The following is a 26,824-nucleotide window of genomic DNA, read 5'->3' as shown; positions in this document are numbered from 1 at the left end:
CGTGATCCGGGACTCGGTGGAGAGAATCGAAATATATAACTAACCCTCCCCCGATCCCCCAACACACACGCGCGCGCGGACACACACACACACACACACACACACACACACACACACACAGTCAAAGCCCTGATTCAGAGGCTAGCGCTGCTGCTCCTACAGGCCCTGGCTGACCTGCCCAGAGGACCCGAGCCACTGGGAAAGATGATGAAAGCAATTTGCTCCGGGGAAAAAAGCAGTTCTTCGTCTTAATTCATTGTATTTTATTTTTAACGGTGTGGTAGTGGTGGTGGTGGCGGGGTGGGGTTAAATAGAAGAAATGCCTTTAATGCAGTACCATAAATTTACCCGCTCATCGCAGCTTCCTTCTCTCTCTCTCTCTCTCTCCCCCCGCCCCCCGCTTCTCTTCTCTTCTCTCCTCCTTTCCTCTCTCTCTCTCTCTCTCTTTCTCTCTCTCTCCCCCTTTCCTGGCGATTAAAAAACATACCTCCGAACGCATTCGGCGGTTAGGTCTCCCGGGCAGAAGAATTAAAACTGGTTTCAATTTATCAGAAACGCAGACTGCAGCAGGCGCAGCCAAGCTCCTGGGTGGTCAAGAAACACCCGAAGGGGGTGGGGGGAGGAGGGAGTTGAGCGGGGGTGGAATGTGGGTACGTGATAGGAACACATCCGGCCTTCCGGTGGGGCACCAAAAGGGAAGCCTCCTCGGCCCCTGGCGACCCGGTGACTTGCAGCGGCGTGTGATTAATCTTCCACAGCTGTCGTGCCCCATCCACTTGAGCTGAGCTCTTGTTTACCTCGATTTTCAAATATAGCTGCTGCGCCATGCTCTTCCTGAAATAGGGGGATCAGTTCACCCTTTATGGGCTCTTGGCTTCGGGCTGGGGCTTCTTTTTGCTGGCGTCACTGGCTGGATCCAAGTTTGAGAGGAACCTGCCCCTTCATGCATTGCAGGTCTCCAAAGGAGGATGGCTGATGGTCAAAGCTTAGGGTAACTAGATGTGGACTGATCAACCCAGCCCCTCATTGCAATCTACAATGCCCAGCAGCAGTCCCCACACACAAGTCCACTTTGTAGCCTCCTTTTTCTTTAAATGAAATGTAGATACTGGGTTGAGAGGAAGCAGATAAGGCCTATAGAACTGAACTTGGTTGAAGTGGTTCTTTCTTTAACTTGATGGAGAAGGGAAGGCCATTCATGCAGTTTCCTCCGCTTGGAATGCTTTATTCTTCTTCCAACATACTCCTAAAGTACTCCTACTCAAGCTTCAGCTCTCAGCTCACTAGTTACTTCCTCAAGGAAGCCTTTCATATTCTCCCTGACTAGGCCACATCCCTGCTTATTATACACCTGTATTAGTCCGTTCTCACACTGGTAATAAAGACATACCCAAGACTGGGTAATTTATAAAGGAAAGAGGTTTAATAGAGTCACAGTTCCACAGGGCTGGGGAGGCCTTAGGAAGTTTACAATCATGGTGGAAGGGGAAGCAAACATGTCCTTCTTCACATGGCGGCAGCAAGAAGTGACGAAAAAAAGGGGGAAAAGCCCCTTACAAAGCCATCAGATCTTGTGAGAACTCACTGTCACAAGAACAGCAGCATGGGGGTTACTGCCCCCATGATTCAATTACTTCCCTGGCTTCCTCCCAGGACACGTAGGGATTATAGGAACTACAATTCAAGATGAGATTTGGGTGGGGACACAGCCAAGCCATATTTGGCCGTGGAGTCCATTGGACTCCAAAAGAAAAATATTTGTTTATTCATTCGGTTAGCCATTTATTCAATAAATATTCAACAGCCACCTACTCTGTCAGGCATGTGCTAAGTCCAGATGCAAATAAAATAGAATGGACCCTTTTCTCATAAACACTCATAATCTGAACTTATATTTTTGAAGTAATTTAAAGACGCCCATTAAATTTATGTATGTGATTAAGTAATGCCAGGCACACCTCTAGATAACAGACTCCACAAAGGGAGGAAACTGTGTCCCCAAGGCCTAGCACTGTGCCCGGCATGGGATAGGTGCCCAGTAAATGTTGGTTGAATGAGTGGAATTGGAGGAACAATTACATTCTTTCCTTCTCTGTTCCTGCTCTTCTGAGCTCTCCTTTACACTGCCACCTACAGCTTCCTGGTCGGAGAAGGGAGAATATGCTTACTGAACTGACCCTGTTAAAACTATTCCCATGCCCTGTGCTCCCCCAGGGGATGGGACCCTAAAGCCGATAGGTTGTCCTCTTGCCCTGGCCCTGCCCTTTGCCTGTGCAGGATGGTTCCTCTTGCATTCTCTGGGCACAGTTGTTGATATTACTTATGGGCACTGATAGTAGGCATGTTCCCCAGCCTGCATGATTCAGTCATTGCCCATGATCAGGATTTGGGAAATGTGTCACACATCTGGACTTCTTTTCAAACTATTGAGATTAGATAAAAAGAAAGGAATAGGATGGGCGTGGTGGCTCACGCCTGTAATCCCAGCACTTTGGGAGGCCGAGGCAGGCGGATCACCTGAGGTCAGAAGTTCGAGACCAGCCTTGCCAACATGGTGAAATCCCGTCTCTACTAAAAATACAAAAATTAGCTGGGCATGGTGGCAGGCACCTGTAATCCCACTTACTCAGGAGGCTGAGGCAGGAGAATCGCTTGAACCTGGGAGGCAGAGGTTGCAGTGAGCCGAGAATGAGCCACTGCACTCCAGCTTGGGCGACAGAGCAAGACTCCATCTCAAAAAAAAAAAAAAAAAAGAAAAGAAAAAAAAGAAAGGAATAACCCCCTTCACTTAAGCCTGGTTGCTTTGCCTAAGAGGTTCAAATACGTGCTGAGGCTCAGAAAAACATTGAACTCCAAAAGAAAAAGCATTCATTTATTCATTCAGCTAGCCATTGATGCAATAAATATTCAACAGCCACCTACTCTGACAGGCATGTGCTAAGTACAGAGGCAAATAAAATAGAATGGCCTCTTTCCTCATAAACACACATTCCAGCAAGGATAACCAGCTAGTGAATGGACAATTACTGTATAAAGTGATTTATGCCAGTAGAGGGTAAACCCCATGATAATGGAAGCATATAGGAGGAGCACCTCTTCCTATGGGCTTAATGAGGACTTGTAGGGACAGCTAAGCCCAGAAAGGGAGGATAGGTAGGAGTTAGCTTTGGTGAAAGAAAAGAGGAGAGGAAGTAAAGAGGAGAGGAGAGTGGAGGGAGAAAGTGTTATGAGTGAAGGGATTCATATGTAAAGACCTAACATGGATAAGAGCTCTTTCAAATGACTGAAGACAGAGATTAAAATGCAGTGGGGAGTTGAGTGTGGAGAAGGCATAGGGTCAAACCTTAAAGGGCTTGTACTCCATGCTAAGAATTTCCACTGAGTTTCCAGCACGGGGTTAGGAAAATGTTGACTACTGATTTGAAAGGTCAGACTTGCATTTTAGATAGTATACTGAAACTGGAAAGTGGGAGAGAGAGGAAGGTAAAGAGGAAGCTGTATAGAAACCCAGGTGTATGGTCCCGGCAGTCTATGAAGGTGAGGGCGGGGGTTTCTTCTTTCTGTTTCAATGTACAGACTCTCATGGGTAGCGACTATTTGGGGCCAATGTCGCGTGGGAGGTAAAAAGAATTTACCAAGACAGTTGTAGGTAAAAAAGAAAATAAAAGGCAGATTTATTAGAGAACATGTGAAGATAGATTGCAGTGAAGCAACAGGCAGGTCAGCAAGAGAAGAAAGAGCTGACTGCAAGGAGACAAAGGCTTGCTGGGGGCTTTATAGGATGGAGCTTGTGCTGGAGAAAGCTATGTGCAGCACTGATAATGCCAAGGTTGCAGTGAGTTAACTTGCACTTTTCTATCAGCCGATGGTCTGGTGATAGCTGGGTACAGGAAGATTGTGAATTATTTGCACAGGAGGGCTATGTGTCCTGGACCATGAAAACAGGCAGACTTATAGCTTATCTGCTTTCTCTTTTTGCTTTCCTCTGGTCCTGCCAGCCTGACCTCTTTTCCCTAATTAGGTCTCCAGACAAACCAGAGATACCCTTCTAGGAAAAAGTTTAACTAATTTTCTCTAATGAGATTGGTTTATGTTTGGTTGTCCATTTGTGTTTTGAATGGGCCCTCTAAACTCAACACTGGGCAGATGCCTTAGGGGAAAAGAGAAAGGGCTCCACAGAGTGTGAGACATATTTCCTGGCCAACTGAACTGCAGAGCAAAGCAAACTCTCAAAGATTTGAGATGGAGAGATCCGTGAAGGCTGAGACAGGCCTGAAGAAGGAGCCTGGAAGGGTTAGAATTTAGGTCCATGGAGACTATAGAGCAAGACATCTAGACAGGAGACTCACATGTGTATGTACGTGAGTATTTAAAAATAATATGGTGAGTGAATAAAAGCTAATTCTAGAATCCAGGGTACTTGGATATGGCATACAGAATCATATCTAATAAGAAGAAAACAGCTCTGTTTCATCTATATGTAATTTGGAACAGACCAAATAGCATTTACTGCCTTGATATTTGGAAGGACAAATAGGGCTTTCCTAGTTGTGTGCAGGAATGCTGGGTCATGTGGGGACTAGATCTGGAAGTAGGACCAAAAGCTGTGCTCCTGCCATGGCTTCCATGTGATAATTTCCAAATAACTAGACAGGAGAGGACCTCGAAGTCCAAAAGAATGAAACCAAACAGTGTGAGCTTCGTCAGCATTCTTCCTTTGCACCCTGATTTCTCCACTGGGTTCCTCATCCTTCCCTGTCACTAATCTTAGAGTGAAAAACAAACGAACAGAAACAAAACCCTTCATTTCCTGCACAGTGCCCAGGAGCTCACCCTTGCCTTACTTTGGTAAACTGCCCCAGTTCCATCTCTTATCTGAAGTGTCTTTCTTCTTCAACACAGAATCCTCTCCCTCCACAAACTCCATCTTAAAAAGAATATCACTTCTCTAATTCCTTTTCCCCATTATACTCTTTCCCCATCATGCCTTCAACAAACTCTTGAGATTTTAATCATTTGTCCCTATTTTCTCATCACTCATCCACTCACTTCCCACTTTTCTCCACCTTCTCCCCAAGTCTCATCCAACAAGGACTGCTCATTCCCCAAAATATAATGACTTATTCCAAAGAGCTGCCCGCTGTCCTCCCTCTTTCTCTCTCTCTCTCCCTGCACCAGATAATATTGACCATTAGCTCCTTAAGTCTTTCCTCTTTCAGCTTCTTTCACACAGAGCTCTCTAGGTCTCACTACCTCTACATGGCCCCTCTTCCACTTCCACTCCAAGATTCTCTCCTCTCTCCCAATTTTTCCTTTCTCCATTATCCCTTGGCAGTCTCCCTGAATGGTTTGTGCTGTTACTGCAGTGTGGATAGTTCCCAGAGTCTGTGACTCTAGCTCTCCAAGCTGGGTGTCTTGTTTCCAGCCGTGTGCACAGTATCTCCAACAAGATGTCCTGTTAACTCCTCCTGAATTTTTACTAACCTGACATCATCTTTGTCCTTAGGAGCTTCTCCTCCTGACTTCCCACTTTCTCTTGATGGCACCAACAAACTTCCAGTCACCCTGGCTCGAAACCTCCAAGTTTATATTTGAACTCCTCTCCCTTGTTCCCCAAGTATTGCTTGATGTATTTTATAAGCCCATGCCCCTCTTCTTCATCCCAAACACCACTACCCAAGTGCAGATTTTATCACCTCTTGTATAAAAATAATAATAATGTGTGTGTGTTTACCATCTGTCAGCTACTCTGTTGCAAAGTGCTTTACGTTGATTTTCCCATTTAATCCTTACCATGACTGTACGAAGTACTTACTATTATTATACTGTAAAAAACAGCTTTCTGCCATCTTCCCAACTTCAACCTTTTCCTCTTTCAATTCATTTTCATCAGTTACAAGATTCACCTCCTAAAATGCCCTTGTAAACTTATCATTTTTCTGCACAAAAAACTTTGAAGGGCATTCCATTTTTTGCAGTTCCTTGTATTCAAGGCCCTGTATGAGCTGGTGCCCCACTCCATATCTAGCCTCACTTTTTACAGTTTCCTTGCCCTTTCTGCTTTTGTGCATTTGTTCACAGTTTACCTTCCCCTAAGACTTGTCCTTGTTCTTCAGTGTTCAATTCAAATGCCTCTGCCTGATGGGAAGGCTTTATGGAGAAGCTGTCCCTTCCTCCTGTGAATTTTAATAATGTGACATCTGTTTTTCATTAGCCCTTTACACTTTCTGAAATGCACTTTTTTTTTTTTTTTTGCGTGTGGCTTACCATCCCTCCTGGAGCAAGTGCTTTTTCTGTCTCCCACTCTATGTCACATGATGCCTGAAATACAGTAGGTGTTCAATGAAAAAATGGAGTGAATAAATGAATATACTCCCTCACCCATGAAGCAGGTGAAACAAGGTCAAGAAAGGGGATCTATACTATTTCCTAAAATAAGACAGTGGTGGAGTCAAAATTCAAACCAGGGACAGGAAAATGGTGTCATAGAGGAGGCAATGAATTGGTGATAAAAGGTTATGTTCTAATTCTTATCACTTCTGACAACCACAGGTAAGACTCACCTCTGTTCTCTGGGCCTTGGATTCCTTATCCATCAAAAGAGTTTGTGTTGGATGTGTTGACTTTTATGCTCCTCCCTGACCTGACAATTCTGTATTCTGTGAGTCTTGTTTCATAGCATACAGATTGTCTCCTGCTAAGAATACTTTTAGTGCTGACTGTATCTTTCATTTCAGGACCTTCCAGCTGTAACTTGAAGCCTCTAGTGTATCTGTTATCACATTGAGTCTCTAGAGATCAACTTGGCCAGTCAACTCAGCTGTCCAGCCAGTAAGGTGCCCTAAACTGGTTAGAGTGCCTCAAGGGCCCCAGGTTGGCACTCCTCAATGTGCAGCCACCAGTCAGCTCCCACTGCAGTATTCTAGGGCATTCGCAGAATGACTAGTAGTGCTCTAGGCTCCCAAATGTTCCAGACATCCTATCTCAACTCCTGCACTTCTGCCTTTCATAGAGCCCCCAGAAAAGATGTGTTTAGAGCCATGTAGATTCTGTTGAGAGTCTAGTAAAACCACTCTGCTCAGTGGCTTTCTAGATGCTCCACCTACCCCAAACATACCACTGTACTCTCTCCCCAGTGAGACAGGAAGAATCCTCTTGAGCCAATGCCTTTTAGCCCCTGAAAAGAAACTAATAGAGGAATCAACCTCAAGGGGAAATCATTATGGAAGAGCACATCTGTGAAGGTAGTAGCTAGATCTGCTGGGAGTCTGAGGAATCTGCTCCTAGCACCCCCTTGTAATAGGAGGACCCAGAGCATCCCTAGAGTTAATTATACAAAAGAACTACCCAGACTTGTCTCAGAGAGATGACTTTGACTGCTCGCCAGGTTTTATTTGTTCTTCAATCAGGCAATGATATGATTTAATTCCATATTTCAACATTTAAAAAATTAAAATAAATTAAATGGCATTAAAATACATCTGGCTTCTGGAGAATAGCCTGAGAAATATGTACATAAAGGAGGCTGATCACCAGCATCCCTTGATGGCTTTGCAACAGGGCAGAAGGATGTCAGCCTCCCCCATGGGTAACCTCAGAAGATAGAGCCCAGGTGGTTCTCTCTTGGCAACAGGGAAGGGCAGGAACGATGTCGGCCTCAGGCTGCCCTGGGATTCTTGCTCCTTTGACTCCAGCCCTGACTTCCTTTCAGTTGCAGGGGATGCTTCCTCTTGGTCCTTCCCGACATGACACACTCCTTCAGCCTGCTGAAAGGAGACCTCTGGCATTCACAGCACGAAGGTTTGGTTCTGGCTCCATTATTTATTGGCATAGCAACACTCAGCAATAAATGAGCCCCAATTTCTTCTTCTGTATGATCATCCTCATAAGAAGGATTAAATAAGATCCTGTGAGTGAGAAGTTCTTTGTAAACCCCTGGCACATAGCATTGTTTAATATTTATTGAATGAATGATGCAGTATAAATGCTGATTATCATTATGCCATACTCTGAAGGAAAAGTGAGGTGCTAATGAGAGGACTAAGACTGGGAGAAGGGGCCGTGTTTAGAATTAGACTCACGACTTCTGTCCAAACACTATGTGGTCCCATTGGTTCTTGAGAATGAACAAAACTCTCTGAACTCTGAGGTCATTGGCTTTAACCATATACCTCTCTACCCTAAGGCTTGCCAGGAAGTTTGAAGTCTCTTCCTAGATGCATCTTTCCAGAATCACTTAATGAAAACTCCTGTAGAGTCATTTTGCATCCACTCAGCAAATACTTACTGAGTACTCCCTCTGCCAGCACTAGCCAAGGCACTGGGAATACTGTGGTGAACAAAAGGGACCAGATTCCTGCTACTATGGAGTATATATTCTATGATAAACTAGTAAAAAAGCAAACAAAAACAATGATGATTTCATCAAGTGAATATGGGCTGTAAAGAAAACGAAAAGTGATGTTACAAGAGAGTACTGGAGGGGGAGATTGCCTTTAGATAAGATGGGCGGGGGAAAGCCTCTCAGAGAGGGGGCATCTAAGGCCTGAATGAAATCTAAAAGTGACCTATGTGGATATTTAGGGTAAGGTTGTTTCAAGTAGAGAGAACAGTAGATGCAAAAGTCCTAAGACACATGCTTGCCTGTTCTAGAAACTTCAAAGTATTTCATCTGAGTTGGAGTGGAGTATGGGTGGAGCAAAACAAAATGGTAGGAGATTTGAAAGGTCAGCAAGTTAGAAGCTAGATGAGAAGTCAGTAGGGGGTGGGGTGCCACAGAAAGAGAGAGGATACAAAGAATTGCATGATCTATCTGATTTACATTTTAAAGAGACTTTCCGGCTGTTTTGTGGAGAGTAGATTATAAGGGGTGGAGCAAGGTTGGCAGCTGTTGCAGTAGTCCAGGTGAGAGATGTAATATTAAATATTAAATCTCCAGCAGCTAGAATGGAATGTGACACACATTTGGCACTCAATAAATTTGAGAATGCATCCAGGCAGAAATGATCTTCAAAGAACCTACAACTGTGATGGGCACATAGTAAGTACTCGACCAATACTTTCGTTCATGAATCAATGAACAGCATCATGCTTTCTTGTAGCCACTCTAGATTACCTTGAAGTTAATCTCAATATTTTGGGTTTTTTACACATAATTCTTATCCTTCTAGCTAGCATTTTTTCTTAGGAGCAATATGTTCCATGGGTTCATTTTATCCTGTGTGAAACTGCGGTCATTTGAAACAGATCTGAGATGTCTGACTCCATAACCTTTAGGCAGTGTTCATAAGTCCCCAAACCCTTTGCTTACACTTAGATACTGATCTCATATACCTTTCTGTGTGTCACTCCCGAGGGGGAACCAGACCTGCTTCATCAGTGCATCTTCAGAGCTTATCACAGTCTGGTCTATTGAATCCACAAATGGTTATTCCCTTGACTAGACTGAGGAACACTCTAAGGCCTTGATTGGGTTCCATTTGTCCCACAGTTACAGGAAGTCCTAAAGCTAAGAAGATATCTAAGTTGGATGGTTTTGTGTTGATTCCTTCAGCTTTCATTTCTTGGGGCCTGGAGATCTCAGGATCGGGATGAACTTTGCAGGGCCAGTGGAGGAAGGGGCCTGATGTGGTATGGTCCTTGCTAGGCCTCTTCATTCCTCTTCACCATCATCTTCTGTTTCTATTGGTCTCCAACTTACATGGATTCTCCTTTCAGTGCCTCTGAAATCCATGCCTTCCCCAGCAGCCCTTTTCCCACTGCCTTGGTTCAGTTCTCCATTGCCTCTCATCCCAGTCCTGGGAGAGTCTGGACTGGTCTTCCTGCCGCCAGTCTTGCCCCGCTTTCATTCACCTATCCTGTTCCCACACTGTCATCACTCTAGGTTGCCTATCCAAAAGAAAAACATTGATCTTGTCCCTCCTATGATTAAAAACCTTCAGTGCTTCCTTATTGCCTCCAAGAGAATGCCCACATTCCTTGGCCAGGCACACAAGGCCTCTTACCAGCGATTCCTCACTTATCTCCACAGCTTCTCTCAAGTCTTTCAGCCATACTGCTCATCCTTCTGGAAACAGACGCTGCTTGTTCGGGCTTCCATGCCCTTTAGCATGGGATTCCTGTGGCCTTTGTTTGAGATGCACTGTCTTCCACCCAATTAACTCCTGTTCATTCTTTAAATCCTAGATCTAATGTTAGCTGGTTCATGCAGCTGGCCCCAGTGATCCCAAGAGGTACTATACCTTCCTTTCTTGTGATCTCTTGGCACTTTGCACATGCTTCAAAATCTGGTAGTTGTTTTGGTGTAATTATTTGGTTTTCTGTCACTGTTCTCCAGTGAAGTGTGTGCTTCTCTAGAGGGATTATATTTTGTTCATATTACTCAAATTCAGAAAACCTTGCTCACAGCATCCCTGACAGATGGTTCTCCAGCCTCCAAGTTGAACACTGCCAAAGATGGGAGAACTCACTGGATATTATCCCTTCTATTTTTGCACATTCATTCCATGTACTCCTTCATTCAATAAATATATACTGAGCATCTGTGATATGCCAGGCACTGATTTAGGCACTGGGCATACAGAAATATCAGATAAAAATTTCTACCCTCTTGGAACTTATAACTTTTTTGAGTGTGTGGAAAAAAATGAGTTTGGAACAAATTAACCTTCTCAGCATAATTCAGTGAAAGTCAGCCTGTGACACATAAGCTGGGTTTCATACAAATGCATAAATGCATGCATGCATGAATGAATAAATGAGTAAGTGAGTGAATGAACAAAGAGGCCATGAGGAAGTGTGAAGAAGTAGACCTAAGCTATTATCAGTGAAAGGAAAAATAATTAGAAATACAACTTGCTGAAAATGGACGAATAGCATCATTTTCCTACAAAGACAAGAGAATTATGGATTTTTTATATTTCATGAGTACAAGTATAAACCAAGTAGACAGCAAGTTTAGGGAAAGATAAAGGGAAAATCTGCTTATGTGGGTAGAGAATTGATGCTGACTATTCTTGGCAAGGTATGAAAGGAAATGAGACTTCAAGAAGGTGAGATGTTTGTCCAGCGCATAGAAATGTCTTGTGGTACCCATTTGTGCGTCAACGCATGATCTGCTATGAGTCCTTCTCTCAGTCCAAAGAAAGTCTCTAATGGCTGGAATACCTGGGATGCAAATGTCATAGTCAGGTGAGGTTCCTTCTCTTCTCTCCCAGGATTTTCAACCTTGTCTGTATCTTAAAATCAATAAAAGAACTTTTCAAAAACATAAGTATTTAGGCTCCTCTCCCAGAGAGTTCAAAACTTAGGTCTGGAGTAGGATCTAGATGTCTGTATTTTTTAGAACTCCATGGTTATTCAGATGTACAGCCATCTCTAGAATGTGATCCTGGTTCCATCACTGTCTCCAACAGGAGGATGACTTAAACGCAGATGTAGACCCAGCCATGGGAAAAACAAAACTTAAATTAAGCTGAGCTAAGCCCTGTCTCTTCCTAGCTCTCTGGCCCACTCTCAGTGTTTGTAACTCCCCAGATCTGTCAAGGATTTGGAGAGGGCAAAGTCCTCTGGTTTACACAAGTCTAGCACATTTCAGGCATCTTTGAATCACAGAATTTTAGAGGTAGAGAGGGTTATCAGAGGTCAAGTTCAACCTCTTAGTCCTATCAATAGAGTTTCACAGAGTGTGATGATGCATTTTTACAAACAAAAAAGCTTCCCCTTTGGGAGGGTGAGGTGGGCGGATCACTTGAGGTCAGGAGTTCGAGACCAACCTGGCTAACATGGTGAAATCATGCCTCTATTAAAAATACAAAAATTAGCCAGATGTGGTGGTGCACACCTGTAATCCCAACTACTTGGGAGGCTGAGGCAGGAGAATCGCTTGATCCTGGGAGGCGGAGGTTGCGGTGAGCCGAGATTGCGCCACTACACTCCAGCCTGGGTGACAGAGTGAAACTGCCTCTCAAAAAAAAAAAAAAAGAAAAAAAAAAGCTTCCCTATATTGACTTGAAATTTTTCATAGAGCTTCCAGAAGAGTGTGGAAGATGGATAGGTAAACAGATAAGCCCAGTACAGTGTGACAAGTGCTTCAGGGATGACCAAAGTGTTAGAGGAACCCAAGAGAATAAATGACTCACTTTACAATTAGAGGAAGATGCATTTTCGGGGAAGGCTTCCCAGAAGACACAGAACTTTCTGGAGCCCAAAGTTCTTCACCTAAGGGATCTTGATCCCTAGCCTACTCTTCCACCATCCCTTTCATCTCCTGGAGCTTAAAAGCAGACTTTAGCATTTGACACACCAAGTTTCATAGCCCCTCTTTGCCACTTGCTCAGCTGGTAGACCTTGGGTAAATTATGAATCTTTGAGGCCCCTATCTCCTCATTTCTAAAACAGATAACAAGACATGTCTCATGGTGGGTTTGTGAGGTATTAAATAACAGATATAAAAGTGCCTAGAGTAGTGCTGGCTATAGAGTAGGTGCCTGATGAATATATATGATCATTGCTGTTGTCATCACTTTTTTAAAGTCCTTGGTCCATATAAAGAATGAGGAGACGGAGGCCTGCTGATGCCCTGGTCTGTCTAGGAAGCTTTCTTTTCTCTTCTTCTGTAGTAGTACCTGGGAGAGTGTCAGCAGGGTTTCATGAAACTGTCAGACGGTTCAGAAGTCATTAAAGGTCTGAGAGACTTCAGAGAAGGCAAAATATGACAATTGCATGAGATCAGAGAAGCAAGAACAGTATAATATTATCTCACATACGACTGCAACATTCTCTACATTAAAAGCCCTGCTGCAGTGCAGCCACTGCCCACACGGGTTGAGGCATCCGTAGAGCCACCAACCTGAGCGCTTAGAGCAGCAGAAGAAAATCATATTACTTTCCAAGACATAGTTGTAATCAATTATTCCAATAATTACTTGTTTGTCTCCACCCCTCATCAGAAAATAAACTCTCAGAGGTTGGAGAAGTGGTTCATGGCTGTACCTGCAATTGCTAGCACAGTGTTTGGCCTTAATAGGCAAAAAAAAAAAAAAAAAAAAAAAAAAAACAAAAAAAAAACGGATTTGGTCCAAGGGGCTTTTTGGTAAATCCAGAATGTAGGCTCTCCTTGACTTTTCCCTGGTCCCCTCTTCCTACCACCCCCTCCTAGCTTATTCTCTTATCCTCTGAGGTCTCTGTGGGAGTCTAAATTCCACACCTGGCTTTCACGTGGCTCTGGGCCCATCTAACATAAAATGTGTCCCTTCACTTCTTTCCTTTCCTGTCATCAAAGCATGTTTGACTGGAAGGAACTATAGCGATCATCTAACCCAACCTGCATTTTATGGATGAGGAAGCTGCTGCCCTAAGAGGGTCACTGACTTCCCAAGGTCTCACACCTCATTGAGGCGAGGCTGGAAAGGAAGTTCTTGTCCATTTTCAAATCCAGGGCTCTACCATGGATCCATTCTGCCTGTATGTAGAGCTTCCAAGCTTGTCGGGGGCCTCCACATCTAGAAAGACTCAGCCTGCCCTCCTTGAGCCTTTGCTCGAAGGGGCGCTCAAACCTAGGGTATGTGTCAAGCACAGTGGTAACAGCATGTGTCCTGGAGGTGGACTGCCAGAATTCAAATGCTTACCTTTCTGTTTACTAACTGGGGTCTTAGGCAAATTCCCTAACCTCTATGAGTTCCAATTTGCCATCTCTAAAACAAGTGTGGTGATAATAGCACCTCCTTCATTGTGAAGATTCAAAACATTAATAATGCAAGAAAAACATTTAATATCATTATATTTTCCTCCTTGGATACAAGTTCCAGTTGTGGCAATCAAGCTACCTAAGCAGCAGAGGTCACATCTTTCCTACTCTTGAGAGAGTCAGGAGCTTCATTCCTGTGTCTCTCGAGGAGTATTGCCGAGGACAGGACTGCACTGACTTCCACCCACCGGAGGCAGAGGAAGTGCAGGAGAATATGCAGTGTGCTTGGACTCGGGTGACACAACGGAGCCAGTGCAGCCTGGCTGGACCTAAAACTTTTATGTAAATTGGCTATGACACCTGTGCAGGGGCCCAGATTTAGAAGCAGAGTGGGACAACTCTACCCAGGCTGGTGACATGCCCGGAGCAGTGTTCCCATTGGAGAAAGTGGAGGGCATAGCAGGAGGGAGAATTTGCTCAGTCTGTCCTGGTGGCACTGTTTTATTAATGATCTGGAAGAGCGGAGGAACGGTGACTTTAATTAAATTTGCCAGTGATATTAAAAGATGTCAGGAGCCACTGCTAAGGACACAGACGCCTTGCAGATGGCCTCAGAGGCGTTAGGAAGATGGTCCGGAAAAGGGATGAGAGGCTCGGGGCTGAGCCAGGGCATCAGTTTGACTGAGAGAGGGGAGTGTGACATGGGGACAGACGGGCATCATGAGCAGAATCTACCCAGGCCCACCATGCTTGTCTGTATCTGTTCAGTTTGCAGTAGAGTTCTATCTGACCTTCCTGCTCCTGTCTTGCCCACTTACAGCCATCCTAAACCCTTAGGTGAAATTGGTATTTCTGAAAGACGAATCATACCATGTCATTCTTTGGTTTACAACCCTATCACTGGCTTTTCATTGCCCTTAGAATAAAACCCTGTCTTCTCAGCTTGGCATCTAAAGCTTGCCATGAGTGAAGTCTTCCCTACTGTCTAGCCTCATCTACTGGGCCTCCTGCCTCACACTGCATGTCTTGTAATCCCACGCCCACAGCAGCCTTTTCCATCATGTTTCCATGTCTTTGCCTTTGCCTGGGCTGTTCTCTTTGACTTGAATGCCCTTCCCACTTTCCTTTTTTTTGACTAAAGCTCACTCATGCTTGAAGTCTCATTTCAGGAATCACCTCCTTCAGAATGCCTCCCTGAATCCCCAGGCTGGCTCAGTGCCCTCTTCACATTCTCATAGCATTCTGCCCTACCTCCTCTTTTTACAATAAAAGTGTTTATTTGTACATCTGTATACTTCTGCTAGATTGTACCTTTGAGGGCAAACGCGGTGTCTCTCTTTTTTTTTTTTTTCTTTTTTAATCCACCAGCGTCTAATACCAGGTCTAGCAAATCACAGGCTTTTGTCAATGTTTGTCAAACTGAACTGATGGGAAGAATATTTGGATGGGAGGCTGCAGCAGGCAGCCAGAACAACCCCAGTAAGCCTGGGAACTAGGCATCGAAACAGTAAGTTTCTCCTCTGAGCAGGTGTGGGACAGTCACCTTGCTTCTAAGTCCACATAAGACTGGAAACTGATTGGAGGCCGTGGACATTCTACAACAAAGTGGGACAGCTTAGTAAAATAGGGTGGTTAAAACCATACTTTATGTCATCTGTCTGTGAATTCTAGTTCTACTATTTCCTTTGTACTTTGAGTAAATGACTTAGGTAAGACTCAGTTTCCCAAAATATAAGATAGGGATAAAAATATTTCTAACCTCATAGGGTTGCTATGAAAATTAAGTGAGAAAGCACTCAGCATTATGCAAATAATAAACACTTGTAGATGCGAATTACTGTTATTAATGTCTTTATGATTTGGGGTGGTCCTGGGTGGGGGAAAAGATCTCAAGTTGAGTCATATCTCTGAGTATGCCTCGGGGTTAATAGCCTTCTGGAACCACAGAAGATTATCTGGGTCTCTAAGGGGTTGAGCTGGACCCCCAAGATGTTGGGATCTATCTCAATTGGTGTCTGGGCCGGGGCAATTGCATAAAAAATGACGACTGGCTTGGTCATTAGAGATGTTCCTGCTTTCTCTAACATCTCAGCCAGAAACCATTTCCTGGCAGGGCTGCAAAGAGGAACTAGGCATTCACAGGGCATTTTCCACCTTCAATTTCAAAAACTGGGTGCCTGCATTTACTAGCCATCTCACCGCCTTGCCTTTTCTTTTTCTTTTTTTGTTTTTGAGACGGAGTTTCACTCTTGTTGCCCGGGTGGGAGTGCAATGGCGCGATCTTGGCTCACTGCAACCTCAGCCTCCTGAGTTCAAGCCATTCTTTTGCCTCAGCCTCCCAAGTAGCTGGGATTATAGGCGTGCACCACCACGCCCAGCTAATTTTGTATTTTTAGTAGAGATGGGGTTTTGCCATGTTGGTCAGGCTGGCCTTGAACTCCTGACCTCAAGTGATCCACCTGTCTCAACCTTCCAAAGTGCTGGGATTACAGGTGTGAGACACTGAGCCAGGCCTTGCCTTTTTTCTTTAATCTTTTCCTTCAGTTCATTTATTTTCTCATGGAATAGTCTTTTTAAACTGGCCTCTGATTCTGATCATATGATAGCACATTGCCCAGAAAAACCTGTTGCCACAAAGCGTCTACAGGGCCAAAGGAAAACAAAGACCGTCATCCTCCTTAATTCTCCTGGTCCATAAGATAAATACGACTCCAAGTCCCCTGTTAATCAGGATGATTCTACCATCCCAATGTTCCATGTCCTTTCACTCTGGAAGACCGGCTCTCTTCTCTCCCCCATGGATACTCACCCTCTTGGGATTGGTTGGCTCTCATAGCAGCCACCTCCTGTCACTGGGTTGGCACTTGAAGAAAGAGCTACTCAGCTGTGCCTACCATCTGTCATCGCTGCATGGGGCTCATTGGAATCCACAAAGTGTCAGGGTTTTCAGAGGTCAAAGTAAAGAGCCAAGGTCCTTTTCTCTCCACATTTCTCTAGGGTGGGTGAGTGTCAAACCTCTGAATGAATGCCTTTGTGCACATCATTGATGACAAGAGCTTTCTTAACCTTTGAAGATGGATGCTGAACATCTTCAACCACTCTATTCCTCCACAGTCATTCCCATAACCTCTTCTCCTCTGAGTGAGGTCAAAGGCACAACAGGTCCCAGCACCTGTTGTGATGCCCCCAGCACCTGGACTAATGGAGAATGTGGGCTTCAGAACTTGGCTGCCACTCTAGGGATTAAACCAAGTAAATCCTCAGCTCTTTGGGAGGGAGGTCTTCATGGGGACAATATGCACCCTGATGTTTTGTGTCCCGAAGAGAATTTCTCTTTGAGCACAGGCTTTGGAAATTTAAAGAGGTCCCACATAGCCTCTAAAATCCAGTCTGGTTTTGTCTATGAAATGTATATGTATTTCCAAAGCAAATGGCTACAATTCAGATAAAAAATAAAGAAGGCTGTCATCCAAGGAAGCTTCATTGGTGACTACATTTATTCATTCCAAAAACATACAGTTACTGAGAACCTACTAACCATTCAGGATACCATGATAAACAGAAGAGACACAGTCTTTGCTCTTATGTCATTCACTGTTTATTGGATGAGATCTAAAGCATTATTAAGAGTGGGGAGTGCAAAGAAGAAACCCTCATTTCAAAGATGAATGAGAATAATGGCATGTACAAAGGTCCTGGGGTGGACAGTCACTTGGTATAATCCAAGAGTGAACCTGAAGGCTATTGTTGTTGAAATGTAATAAGGGAGAGAGTGACGGGATGAAGGGGGATGAGTGGGAAGCAGTGAATTCCTGCAAGGCTTTGAAGGTCATGGGAAAGAATTTGGTCTTTATATCAAGAGCAAGAGAAGACTACTAAAGGGCTTCAAACAGGGGAGCGATATGCTTAAGTCTGTTTGTTTGTTTTTTTAAAAAAAGATTACGGTGGCTATATGAGGAAAGTGGAATTGAGAACTAGTGAGAGTTGGAGTGGTGAGCTCCATTAGGAGGCTACTGAAGTAGATTCATGAGGTAAGGAGTGATGGTGGCCTGGGCTGGGATGATGGTGGTAGAAATGGAGAAAGAGTTGATAGGATTTAGTGATTGGATAAGGGACAGAAGAGAGATGAAGGCTTTCAGACTAACATCTGCTTTCTAACATGAGTAACTGGGTGGCTGAAGATGCTATTTTCTGAGCTGGGAAACAGGAGAAAAAGGAGCAAATATGGGGGATGAAGACTTTGAGTCTTTAAGGTGCTGTACAAACACAAATCAGCATTCCTTTATTACTAAGGGTATCCCACACAGTTGTAGCAGAGGGAGAAAGATCGCCCCCCCCCCCACTTTTTTTTTTTTTTAGCTATTCCATGGTATTTTCATTCTCATCCCACCCAAATGAGGCAGTGAGTGGTAAGATGAGTATATAATAGTTTCAATTGCATTTCATCCCATTCTTCTGAGCTCAAGCTCACCTTTTAGTGGTTTGAGGCCAGTAGATGAAGCTGCATATCACCCCCAAAATCTTGTCTCTAGTTTAACAAAACTTATTTGAGAGACATTTGCATGTTTTATTAATAATGATTTTTACCACTTGTTCCTTTCCATGTTTGGGTTTGAAATTTGAGTGGCTGGCGGATGATCATCTTCCTGTTACTGCCTGCTTAAACTGCTCATAAGCAGGTTTTACTGGAGGGCTCAGAGCTGCTGTGAACTTGGTCTTGGGCACAACTTACATGGCCTCTGTTTGGCTATGGGGTGGGTGGCATTCACCATTTATCAACTCTTTTGATTTCCCAAGCTATCTCAGAATTATAGCTTGCCTCCAGAAGTCTTGCATTCGGGGAGGAAGTTTCTTTCCAAGGGAGCTCAGTTTTCAAGGTTTATTGCTCTGTTTAATGGATGAGATCTAAAGCATTATTAAGAGTGGGGAGTGCAAAGAAGAAACACTCATTTCAAAATCGATTGAGAATAATGGCATGTACAAAGGTCCTGGGGTGGACAGTCACTTGGTATAATCCTGGAGTGAACATGAAGGCCAAGGAAATATGTATACATTAAACAGAGCAAGGTTTTCAATTTTCTGGGGACTAGTCCATGAAAATTCAATTCAATATACTCTCTTGCAAACCTATGTTATCCAAGATACTCAAGTATAATGACAACAGGGTAAGGAAGTCCGAACACCCCAGAAACAGTATAAATGGGCATGAAGATTCAGGTTATACATGGCCTATTTTAAGTTGCTTCTTGAGAACTCTCACAGGTAATACCAGTTTGGGAGACAGGACTTGAAGGCTATTGCTGCATTTCCATCCCCAGTATTCCCAGCTATTTCAAGCCATTTTTCAACGGAGTCTCCACCAGATGGTTTGGAGGACAGAGCAGCTATTTGTGCCTCCCATTGACATCTATTTTTCCAAGTGAGAGACTGCCCCATATGTTAGTGCAATATGTCACTGGAGGTGAAGCATCAGTTGTATTGGTGGGAACCTGCCGTTTGCTGTCCCCTTTTTCCTCATGCCTTTTCCTGCCTCTCTGATCTTTTCTAGGTCTCTGGCCTATCAGGAGGACAACTGGTGCTGCAATAGAAGCCAGTGGCTAAGTCTCGTGTATGGCGTGGTTAAGGTTGCAGCCTCTCACCTCTGCCTTCCTCCATTTTGGGCTGGTTACCTTTGTGCTCTTCCTGAATGGTCTTCGAGCAGAGGCTGGTGGCTCAGGGGACGTGCCAAGCACAGGGCAGAACAATGAGTCCTGTTCAGGGTCATCGGACTGCAAGGAGGGTGTCATCCTGCCAATCTGGTACCCGGAGAACCCTTCCCTTGGGGACAAGATTGCCAGGGTCATTGTCTATTTTGTGGCCCTGATATACATGTTCCTTGGGGTGTCCATCATTGCTGACCGCTTCATGGCATCTATTGAAGTCATCACCTCTCAAGAGAGGGAGGTGACAATTAAGAAACCCAATGGAGAAACCAGCACAACCACTATTCGGGTCTGGAATGAAACTGTCTCCAACCTGACCCTTATGGCCCTGGGTTCCTCTGCTCCTGAGATACTCCTCTCTTTAATTGAGGTGTGTGGTCATGGGTTCATTGCTGGTGATCTGGGACCTTCTACCATTGTAGGGAGTGCAGCCTTCAACATGTTCATCATCATTGGCATCTGTGTCTACGTGATCCCAGACGGAGAGACTCGCAAGATCAAGCATCTACGAGTCTTCTTCATCACCGCTGCTTGGAGTATCTTTGCCTACATCTGGCTCTATATGATTCTGGCAGTCTTCTCCCCTGGTGTGGTCCAGGTTTGGGAAGGCCTCCTCACTCTCTTCTTCTTTCCAGTGTGTGTCCTTCTGGCCTGGGTGGCAGATAAACGACTGCTCTTCTACAAATACATGCACAAAAAGTACCGCACAGACAAACACCGAGGAATTATCATAGAGACAGAGGGTGACCACCCTAAGGGCATTGAGATGGATGGGAAAATGATGAATTCCCATTTTCTAGATGGGAACCTGGTGCCCCTGGAAGGGAAGGAAGTGGATGAGTCCCGCAGAGAGATGATCCGGATTCTCAAGGATCTGAAGCAAAAACACCCAGAGAAGGACTTAGATCAGCTGGTGGAGATGGCCAATTACTATGCTCTTTCCCACCAACAGAAGAGCCGTGCCTTCTACCGTATCCAAGCCACTCGTATGATGACTGGTGCAGGCAATATCCTGAAGAAACATGCAGCAGAACAAGCCAAGAAGGCCTCCAGCATGAGCGAGGTGCACACCGATGAGCCTGAGGACTTTATTTCCAAGGTCTTCTTTGACCCATGTTCTTACCAGTGCCTGGAGAACTGTGGGGCTGTACTCCTGACAGTGGTGAGGAAAGGGGGAGACATGTCAAAGACCATGTATGTGGACTACAAAACAGAGGATGGTTCTGCCAATGCAGGGGCTGACTATGAGTTCACAGAGGGCACGGTGGTTCTGAAGCCAGGAGAGACCCAGAAGGAGTTCTCCGTGGGCATAATTGATGACGACATTTTTGAGGAGGATGAACACTTCTTTGTAAGGTTGAGCAATGTCCGCATAGAGGAGGAGCAGCCAGAGGAGGGGATGCCTCCAGCAATATTCAACAGTCTTCCCTTGCCTCGGGCTGTCCTAGCCTCCCCTTGTGTGGCCACAGTTACCATCTTGGATGATGACCATGCAGGCATCTTCACTTTTGAATGTGATACTATTCATGTCAGTGAGAGTATTGGTGTTATGGAGGTCAAGGTTCTGCGGACATCAGGTGCCCGGGGTACAGTCATCGTCCCCTTTAGGACAGTAGAAGGGACAGCCAAGGGTGGCGGTGAGGACTTTGAAGACACATATGGGGAGTTGGAATTCAAGAATGATGAAACTGTGTAAGTAACCTTCCTGTATTCTGCCCCTCCCTGACCCCATCTTTTGCCATCTCTTTCTGTCTTTCTGTACTGCACTTTACAACATTTCCTTGTGTTTGTGTTAATGTCAAACTTTGGTTCCATCACAGGTATGCAGGATCAGCAGACACCACTGGACAGGTTCTGCTTCCAAACTCTTCTTCAGTTTTCTCACTTTAAATTGTTTCTGGGCAAGGAATCCTGTGACAAGAGCTAAGGACACAAAACATTTTCTTCTCTGAAACACAAAATGATAGCTGGTGGAGCTGTGGGATGACAGAAGTTTTGTGATATCAGATTTTGGAGAATTCTTGTGACTAAGAAGGACTAGAGAACTGCTTGGGCCTCTTCTTCCTCCCTTCCTCATATGAAGGGTATCTATGAGCTTTGAAACCAATCCTTTCCATTCTGGGCAGCAATAGCCCATCAGAACATTCTAAAGAAAACAAGTGGCATTGGCTTTGTTCCCTGGTACTATATTGCCAGTCTCACTGTGTAACCAGATTCCAGGCACGTCTTCTTTAATTTGGAAATTGCAAAATTGATAGAAATTTAGCAATCTTTTTAAATGACCATAGACTATTTAATGGTGTGAGGCTTGCCCAGCCTAGTTGAATTGAGTCAGTATGGTTTGGATACTGGAAAGTATCTTGGAGAAGCAGAGCTCCCAGGGCAGTGGCTACTTGTCTTTAGTCACAGGTCTAAGCTCCAAAATCTGGTGAAGCAGTGAAGGAGAAACATCCTAGGAATTGTGGGAGGAAATATATCTTCTGTGTGGTCCTCTCTTTTCACAGTCTAGGACTCTCCTGAAGTACCTCTTCTTGGGCTACTGCCCCATTCAGCCCTTCAGAAACTGTGGGTATTACACTTCTGTCACCTCTATTACCCTAAGGCCTCTGCCCATTGAACCCTCTTGCAAATTGGTTATTCTGTCCTTTTTCCAGTTGGATAGCTTTAAAAGGGAAAGCAGAATGACTTTCCTCAGGATTTGTAGCTTATGAGAAAGTAGACTTTCTTGGGTGGCCTAGAAGGTTGGAGAAGACAAACGGGAACTTCCTCTGAATGACTGAACATATCCACAAATAATAAGCGTGGCAGGAGATGGTGTGAAGAGTAAAAGGAGCATATAGGAAGTTGTGTGTGTGGGGTGTCTGTTTCAAGAACCTGCTAATTATACCTTCAGTAAGAAATGAAGCCATACAACCTCTAGAAGAGGAGGAGGAAGGAACTCATGGAAAAGTGGGGAGCCATAGAAGCTAGGGAGAGGTGTCCTAGGAGTGCTTCTGCCCAGGTCCAGCCATGAGACAGAGCTCAAAAAGAGCTGGGCACTGCTGGTGACAGAACTGAGTGACCCGGGGGATCCTGCATCTGTTCTTACTCAATCCCTTCTTAATAATGTGACTTGGGGCAGGTCATTTATTGGTTCTGGAACTTAACTTTCTGATATGCAAACTGGGAATAACAATACTTTCCTTGCCTGGAGGCAAGGTCAGTCCTTTTTGCAGTTCCTTCCAGCTCTAAGATTTTCTGAACCATAGACATAAGCACTCAGTGTAGGTCATATTCGCACTTGCCAAAAATGGATCAGGGGATATTGTCTCCTGAAGGGAAATGGCCATTGACAAATTGATTTATTAGAGCTCTGTTTAGTCATTTTGCTGGGAAGGATAATCATTTGTTAACGTAAGTAGAAACCTGTGCCTTCTGGAGAATACTATCCATTTATATGTACTCTGGGGAGAGTGTTTATACATACAAATGAAGGACAGGGCTTCACTGGGAAAACAAACTCCATGGAATTTCACATGATTATCGCGATGTCAGTGTGGAAGAAGATATGGTAAGGCATTAAATGACATTAAGACCACAAAATTTGCCATAATTTGACGGACTTGTGGTTCTTCTGATTCAGAACCCTTTCTACCCATGTCACGGATAGGTAGTTTTTCAGAGATCAGAGGCTTAGTTCATTCTATTAATTTCCTCATTCTATTAATAATCAATTATGCACCTAGGGTCTCTGAATACGACTAAACCTTCCTCAAACTTATTTGCGTTTTCAGTTTGTATAATATCTTGGTGCAAATGAGCCTCGCAAATGATCACTTCTGGGTAATACTCATTCTAAAGGTATGTCAACCTTGAGAATTCTGGTCTAGATATTCTAGGGTTTGGTGAACAAATCTATGTTCCCATCCATCCCTTTTCATTTATTTTTTAGACTTCATTCATTGCAGAATAATGAGTCCAAAACCTGCTCATCTGTTCTCACGTGGCACCCCTATTCTTGATATTTTAAATTGCAATTTTACAACTAGAGGCAGTATTACGGAGCAGAAAAATCGTGGGTTCTAAGTACTCTGGGTTAGGATTCTGGCTCCACTACTGATTTAATAATGTAGTTTGGGGAAATTTTATTAACCTATGAAATTATTTCCTCATTGGCAAAATGGGGATAATAATATCTCTCTTGCAGGGCCATTATGACGATTCAAGGTATTGTATGCGGTGTACCTGGTACACGGTATATGCTCAGGAAACAAGACTCTTCATAGTAATATTGACGAATTAACAATATTCTTCAGAAGACACTGTGGAGTTGTTTAGGTTACTTGGCTCTTTGTGTGACCCTAAGTAATGAGCATGCCAGTTTGGGGTTACTATGAAGAGTACTTACCTAAACTCATAAAATATTAGAGCTAGAAAGGACCTTAGAATATCTTCTGCAGTCATGGTTCTTAAATTTTAATGTGTTGCTCAATCATCCAGGGATCTCACTGAAGGGCAGATTAGGATCCAGGAGGTCTAGGGGAGGGATTGAGATTCCGCATTTCTAACAAGTTCTGGATGCTGCGGGCCCCAACTTAGAGGTGAAAGGTTCTGAAGCTCTTGACCAAACCAGGAGACCCAGCAAAGAAGTGGTTTTTCAGACAACTTGCTTAATTGAATAATGATTGTTTGCTCTTTAATTCCAACTTTCAACGCCAATTTAGCAAGAACCAGAGGCTGTGCTAATTGCCACACCAGTCTGGAAACCGAAATGGATAGCTTCAGGGTACTTGGACAAAGTTGGAACATCTGCTTTCTAATCTCTCCCTCTTTGTATAGCTTTATTTGCCTACCAAGCCTGGTAGTATTGAAAATCTGCCCTCACTATACTCCCCTAAATATAATCAAGTTGAGGCCAGGCCTGTGCTCTATCAATAATATAGGATCCACGAATTCACATGTTTGGTTTTATGCTTTACTTCTTCAAAGGTGCTTTTAGCAGCATGGAAGAATGGAAAAGCACGAGCTTTGGAATATGAAAGCAGATGTGAATCCATCACTTACCAGTAACTTTTAACAAGTCACATCACTTTTCTGAGTACCAGGTTTTTGTTGGACAACAGAAATAATATTCTCTATCCTTCAAGGGAATACTAAATATAAGTATGAGAAAAATGCACAGTGCCTTCTCGTAGATGGTGTTCAGTCATTCAACAAACATTTGTTAGATATTTGCTATGTACTAGCTACATTACTAGGCACTGGGGTTAAATAAGTGAATAAGACAAGCTGACATTTCAGCGCTCAAGGATCTTACTGTCAAGTGGAGAGGATCAAAGGGTACAGACAAATCAAGGAACGTGAGAGAAGTGGTATGGCTGAGATGGATTGAATAAAGGAGCAATGAGAGCTCCCTGCAATGTGTGTGGTACCACTGAGGATTCTAAATTAACCTTCATTAAGGACTTAGTAGTGACAGAGGTGAAGTGGGGATAGGTACATGATTAATTTACATCCATATTACAATGAAACCTTAACATTTAAGAGGGATATTATTGATGTCTTCATGATCCAGAAGAATCCTCACCTTTGCAACCATCACTATAGTCACTTCTTGAGAATTATGGCCTTTAAGACTGTAGCATGCAATGACAAAACCTCACAGAGGTATGGGTTCTGCCCGCACACTAATTTCACTCATTAAACAAGTGACTGGCTCCTATATCCCAGGCTCTCAGCACGCCTTTGCAAAATAACAGATTATTGCAGCTCTTGGACCTTTGATGCCTCTGGGAATAGTCAAAGCCACAGATGTCAAATATGTAAATGCCAAGATCTATTATAATTAAATAGTGCAGGCCTCCTTCAAAGAAAAAAAGCATGTTGGCTGTGCTGCACGTTCTCCAACCAAATCAGAATGTTAAAGCTCGAAGGTATCTGACCTCCCATTTTTTAAATTATGAAGATGAAATTCAGAAAGGGAAGGTAACTTATCCAAGATTACATGGCTAGCTATGATAGAAAGTTAGAGTTGGAAAGGACGTTAGAAAGTGAGGGTTTGAAAGGACTTTAGAAGCTGCTTATTCAATGTTCTCTCTGCCCTTTCCCATCTTAGGCTTCTCCATTTTACTTTTATCCATCAATAAAATGTTAACTTCAAAAAGAATATGGCAATTCTTGGGTAAAAGATGCTCTGGAAGTGTGAGTCCGGGAGTATTATGTGACTAATGTCTTAACTAAGAATAATAATATATTATGGACTAGTTTTAATCTCTTGTTTCACCTTGAACTGTTCAGGAAGGAAAATAGCCCACGGAAATTTTTTAAAAAGTCTTTCTCTATCTGAATTGAGAAAAGGTGACAGGCATAGTTGGAACATCTTTTAGGCAGTGCTGGTGAACTTCAGGCTAGGCCTTGTTCCATGAAATAATAAAAATTTTCAAAATAATGCAGACCATTCCCTTCCAGGGATGCTTTCTCTGTAATGTTTTAACCCCAAGAAATCTTTCTGTAAAAATCTATAAAAATCTGGAGTGTTCCAGGATACAATTTGCACATTCTCCAATTTAACTAAAACACAATCGATTTTTTGTTTTCTTTTTCTTTGGCTTAGCAAGGTTTTAAGATAGTCTCTTTCTGGCCACAGAGGGAGATGATTTGCCTCTAGAATACCCTTTCTGTGCTTGAGAGAGTCACAAGACTGCAAGCTCATGGAGGATGAGAGTCAAGTAGAGGTGGTGACATCTCTCCCTTGGCCAACATCCCTCTCTTTCTCTTTCCTTCTGCCTTCAGTGGCAGTAGCAAAAGTCCTCCTTCTCTTTAGGTAGACAGTCAGCCACTACAACTGTGGCTTCCTGAAATCCTCAGTGGAGCTGTGTACTTGGCACAGATTTGTCTTGAAGAAGGGACTCCATTTCTGAGCCAGTTGTTGAATGGGGATACTTAGCAGTACAGTGAGGCATTTCCAGTAGGATTGTTCAACCACAATTGCCCACTTTCCAGGCCCAAAGGAATAATTGAAGGCTATGTAGACTTTTTTTTTTTTTTTTTTTTTTTTTTTTTTGAGATGGAGTCTCGCTCTGTCGCCCAGGCTGGAGTGCAGTGGCACATCTCGGCTCACTGCAAGCTCTGCCTCCCGGGTTCACGCCATTCTCCTGCCTCAGCCTCCCGAGTAGCTAGGCCTAATATATATATATTATACATATATATTTATATTTATATATATATATACCACCACGTCCGGCTAATATATATTTATACTTTTTTTTTTTAGTAGAGATGGGGTTTCACCATGTTAGCCAGTATGGTCTCGATCTCCTGACCTCGTGATCCACCAGCCTCAGCCTCCCAAAGTGCTGGGATTACAGGCGTGAGCCACCGTGCCCGACCATGCTATGTAAACTTTTTAGCAGAAGCTTTAGCTATTGTGTCCCGAAGGGCCCCAGGTCATGATGAA

General features: G+C 43.8%; 1 protein-coding gene and 1 pseudogene across 12 annotated transcripts in view; one reads left to right on the top strand and one right to left on the bottom strand.

Annotated features, from left to right (window-relative positions):
• The window catches only part of LOC646548 (ADAM metallopeptidase domain 20 pseudogene), a 45,476-nt pseudogene extending 44,864 nt beyond the window's left edge, over positions 1–612 (bottom strand). The window contains exon 1 of the transcript NR_135825.1: positions 488–612. The product of NR_135825.1 is annotated as an ADAM metallopeptidase domain 20 pseudogene (transcript). The remainder of the gene's footprint in view (positions 1–487) is intronic.
• The window catches only part of SLC8A3 (solute carrier family 8 member A3), a 145,191-nt gene that overhangs the window by 1,686 nt on the left and 116,681 nt on the right, over positions 1–26,824 (top strand). For 10 of the 11 annotated variants that reach the window (NR_104122.2, XM_047431711.1, NM_001438069.1 and 7 more), the window contains exon 2: positions 19,236–21,081. Coding sequence is in view for 10 of the 11 variants with exons in the window: in XM_047431711.1 (XP_047287667.1) it covers positions 19,298–21,081 (1,784 nt within the window). In the remaining variant the exon portion in view is untranslated. Of the gene's footprint in view, positions 1–19,235; positions 21,082–21,209; positions 25,532–26,824 lie in introns of those variants that run through there. The other variant, XM_017021610.2, reaches the window with a different exon arrangement.

Source organism: Homo sapiens, chromosome 14, assembly GCF_000001405.40.
Source record: "Homo sapiens chromosome 14, GRCh38.p14 Primary Assembly".
Lineage (NCBI taxonomy): Eukaryota > Metazoa > Chordata > Mammalia > Primates > Hominidae > Homo > Homo sapiens.
The sequence above is the reverse complement of the archived record's forward strand: the minus strand, read 5'-3'. Positions and strand labels throughout refer to the sequence as shown.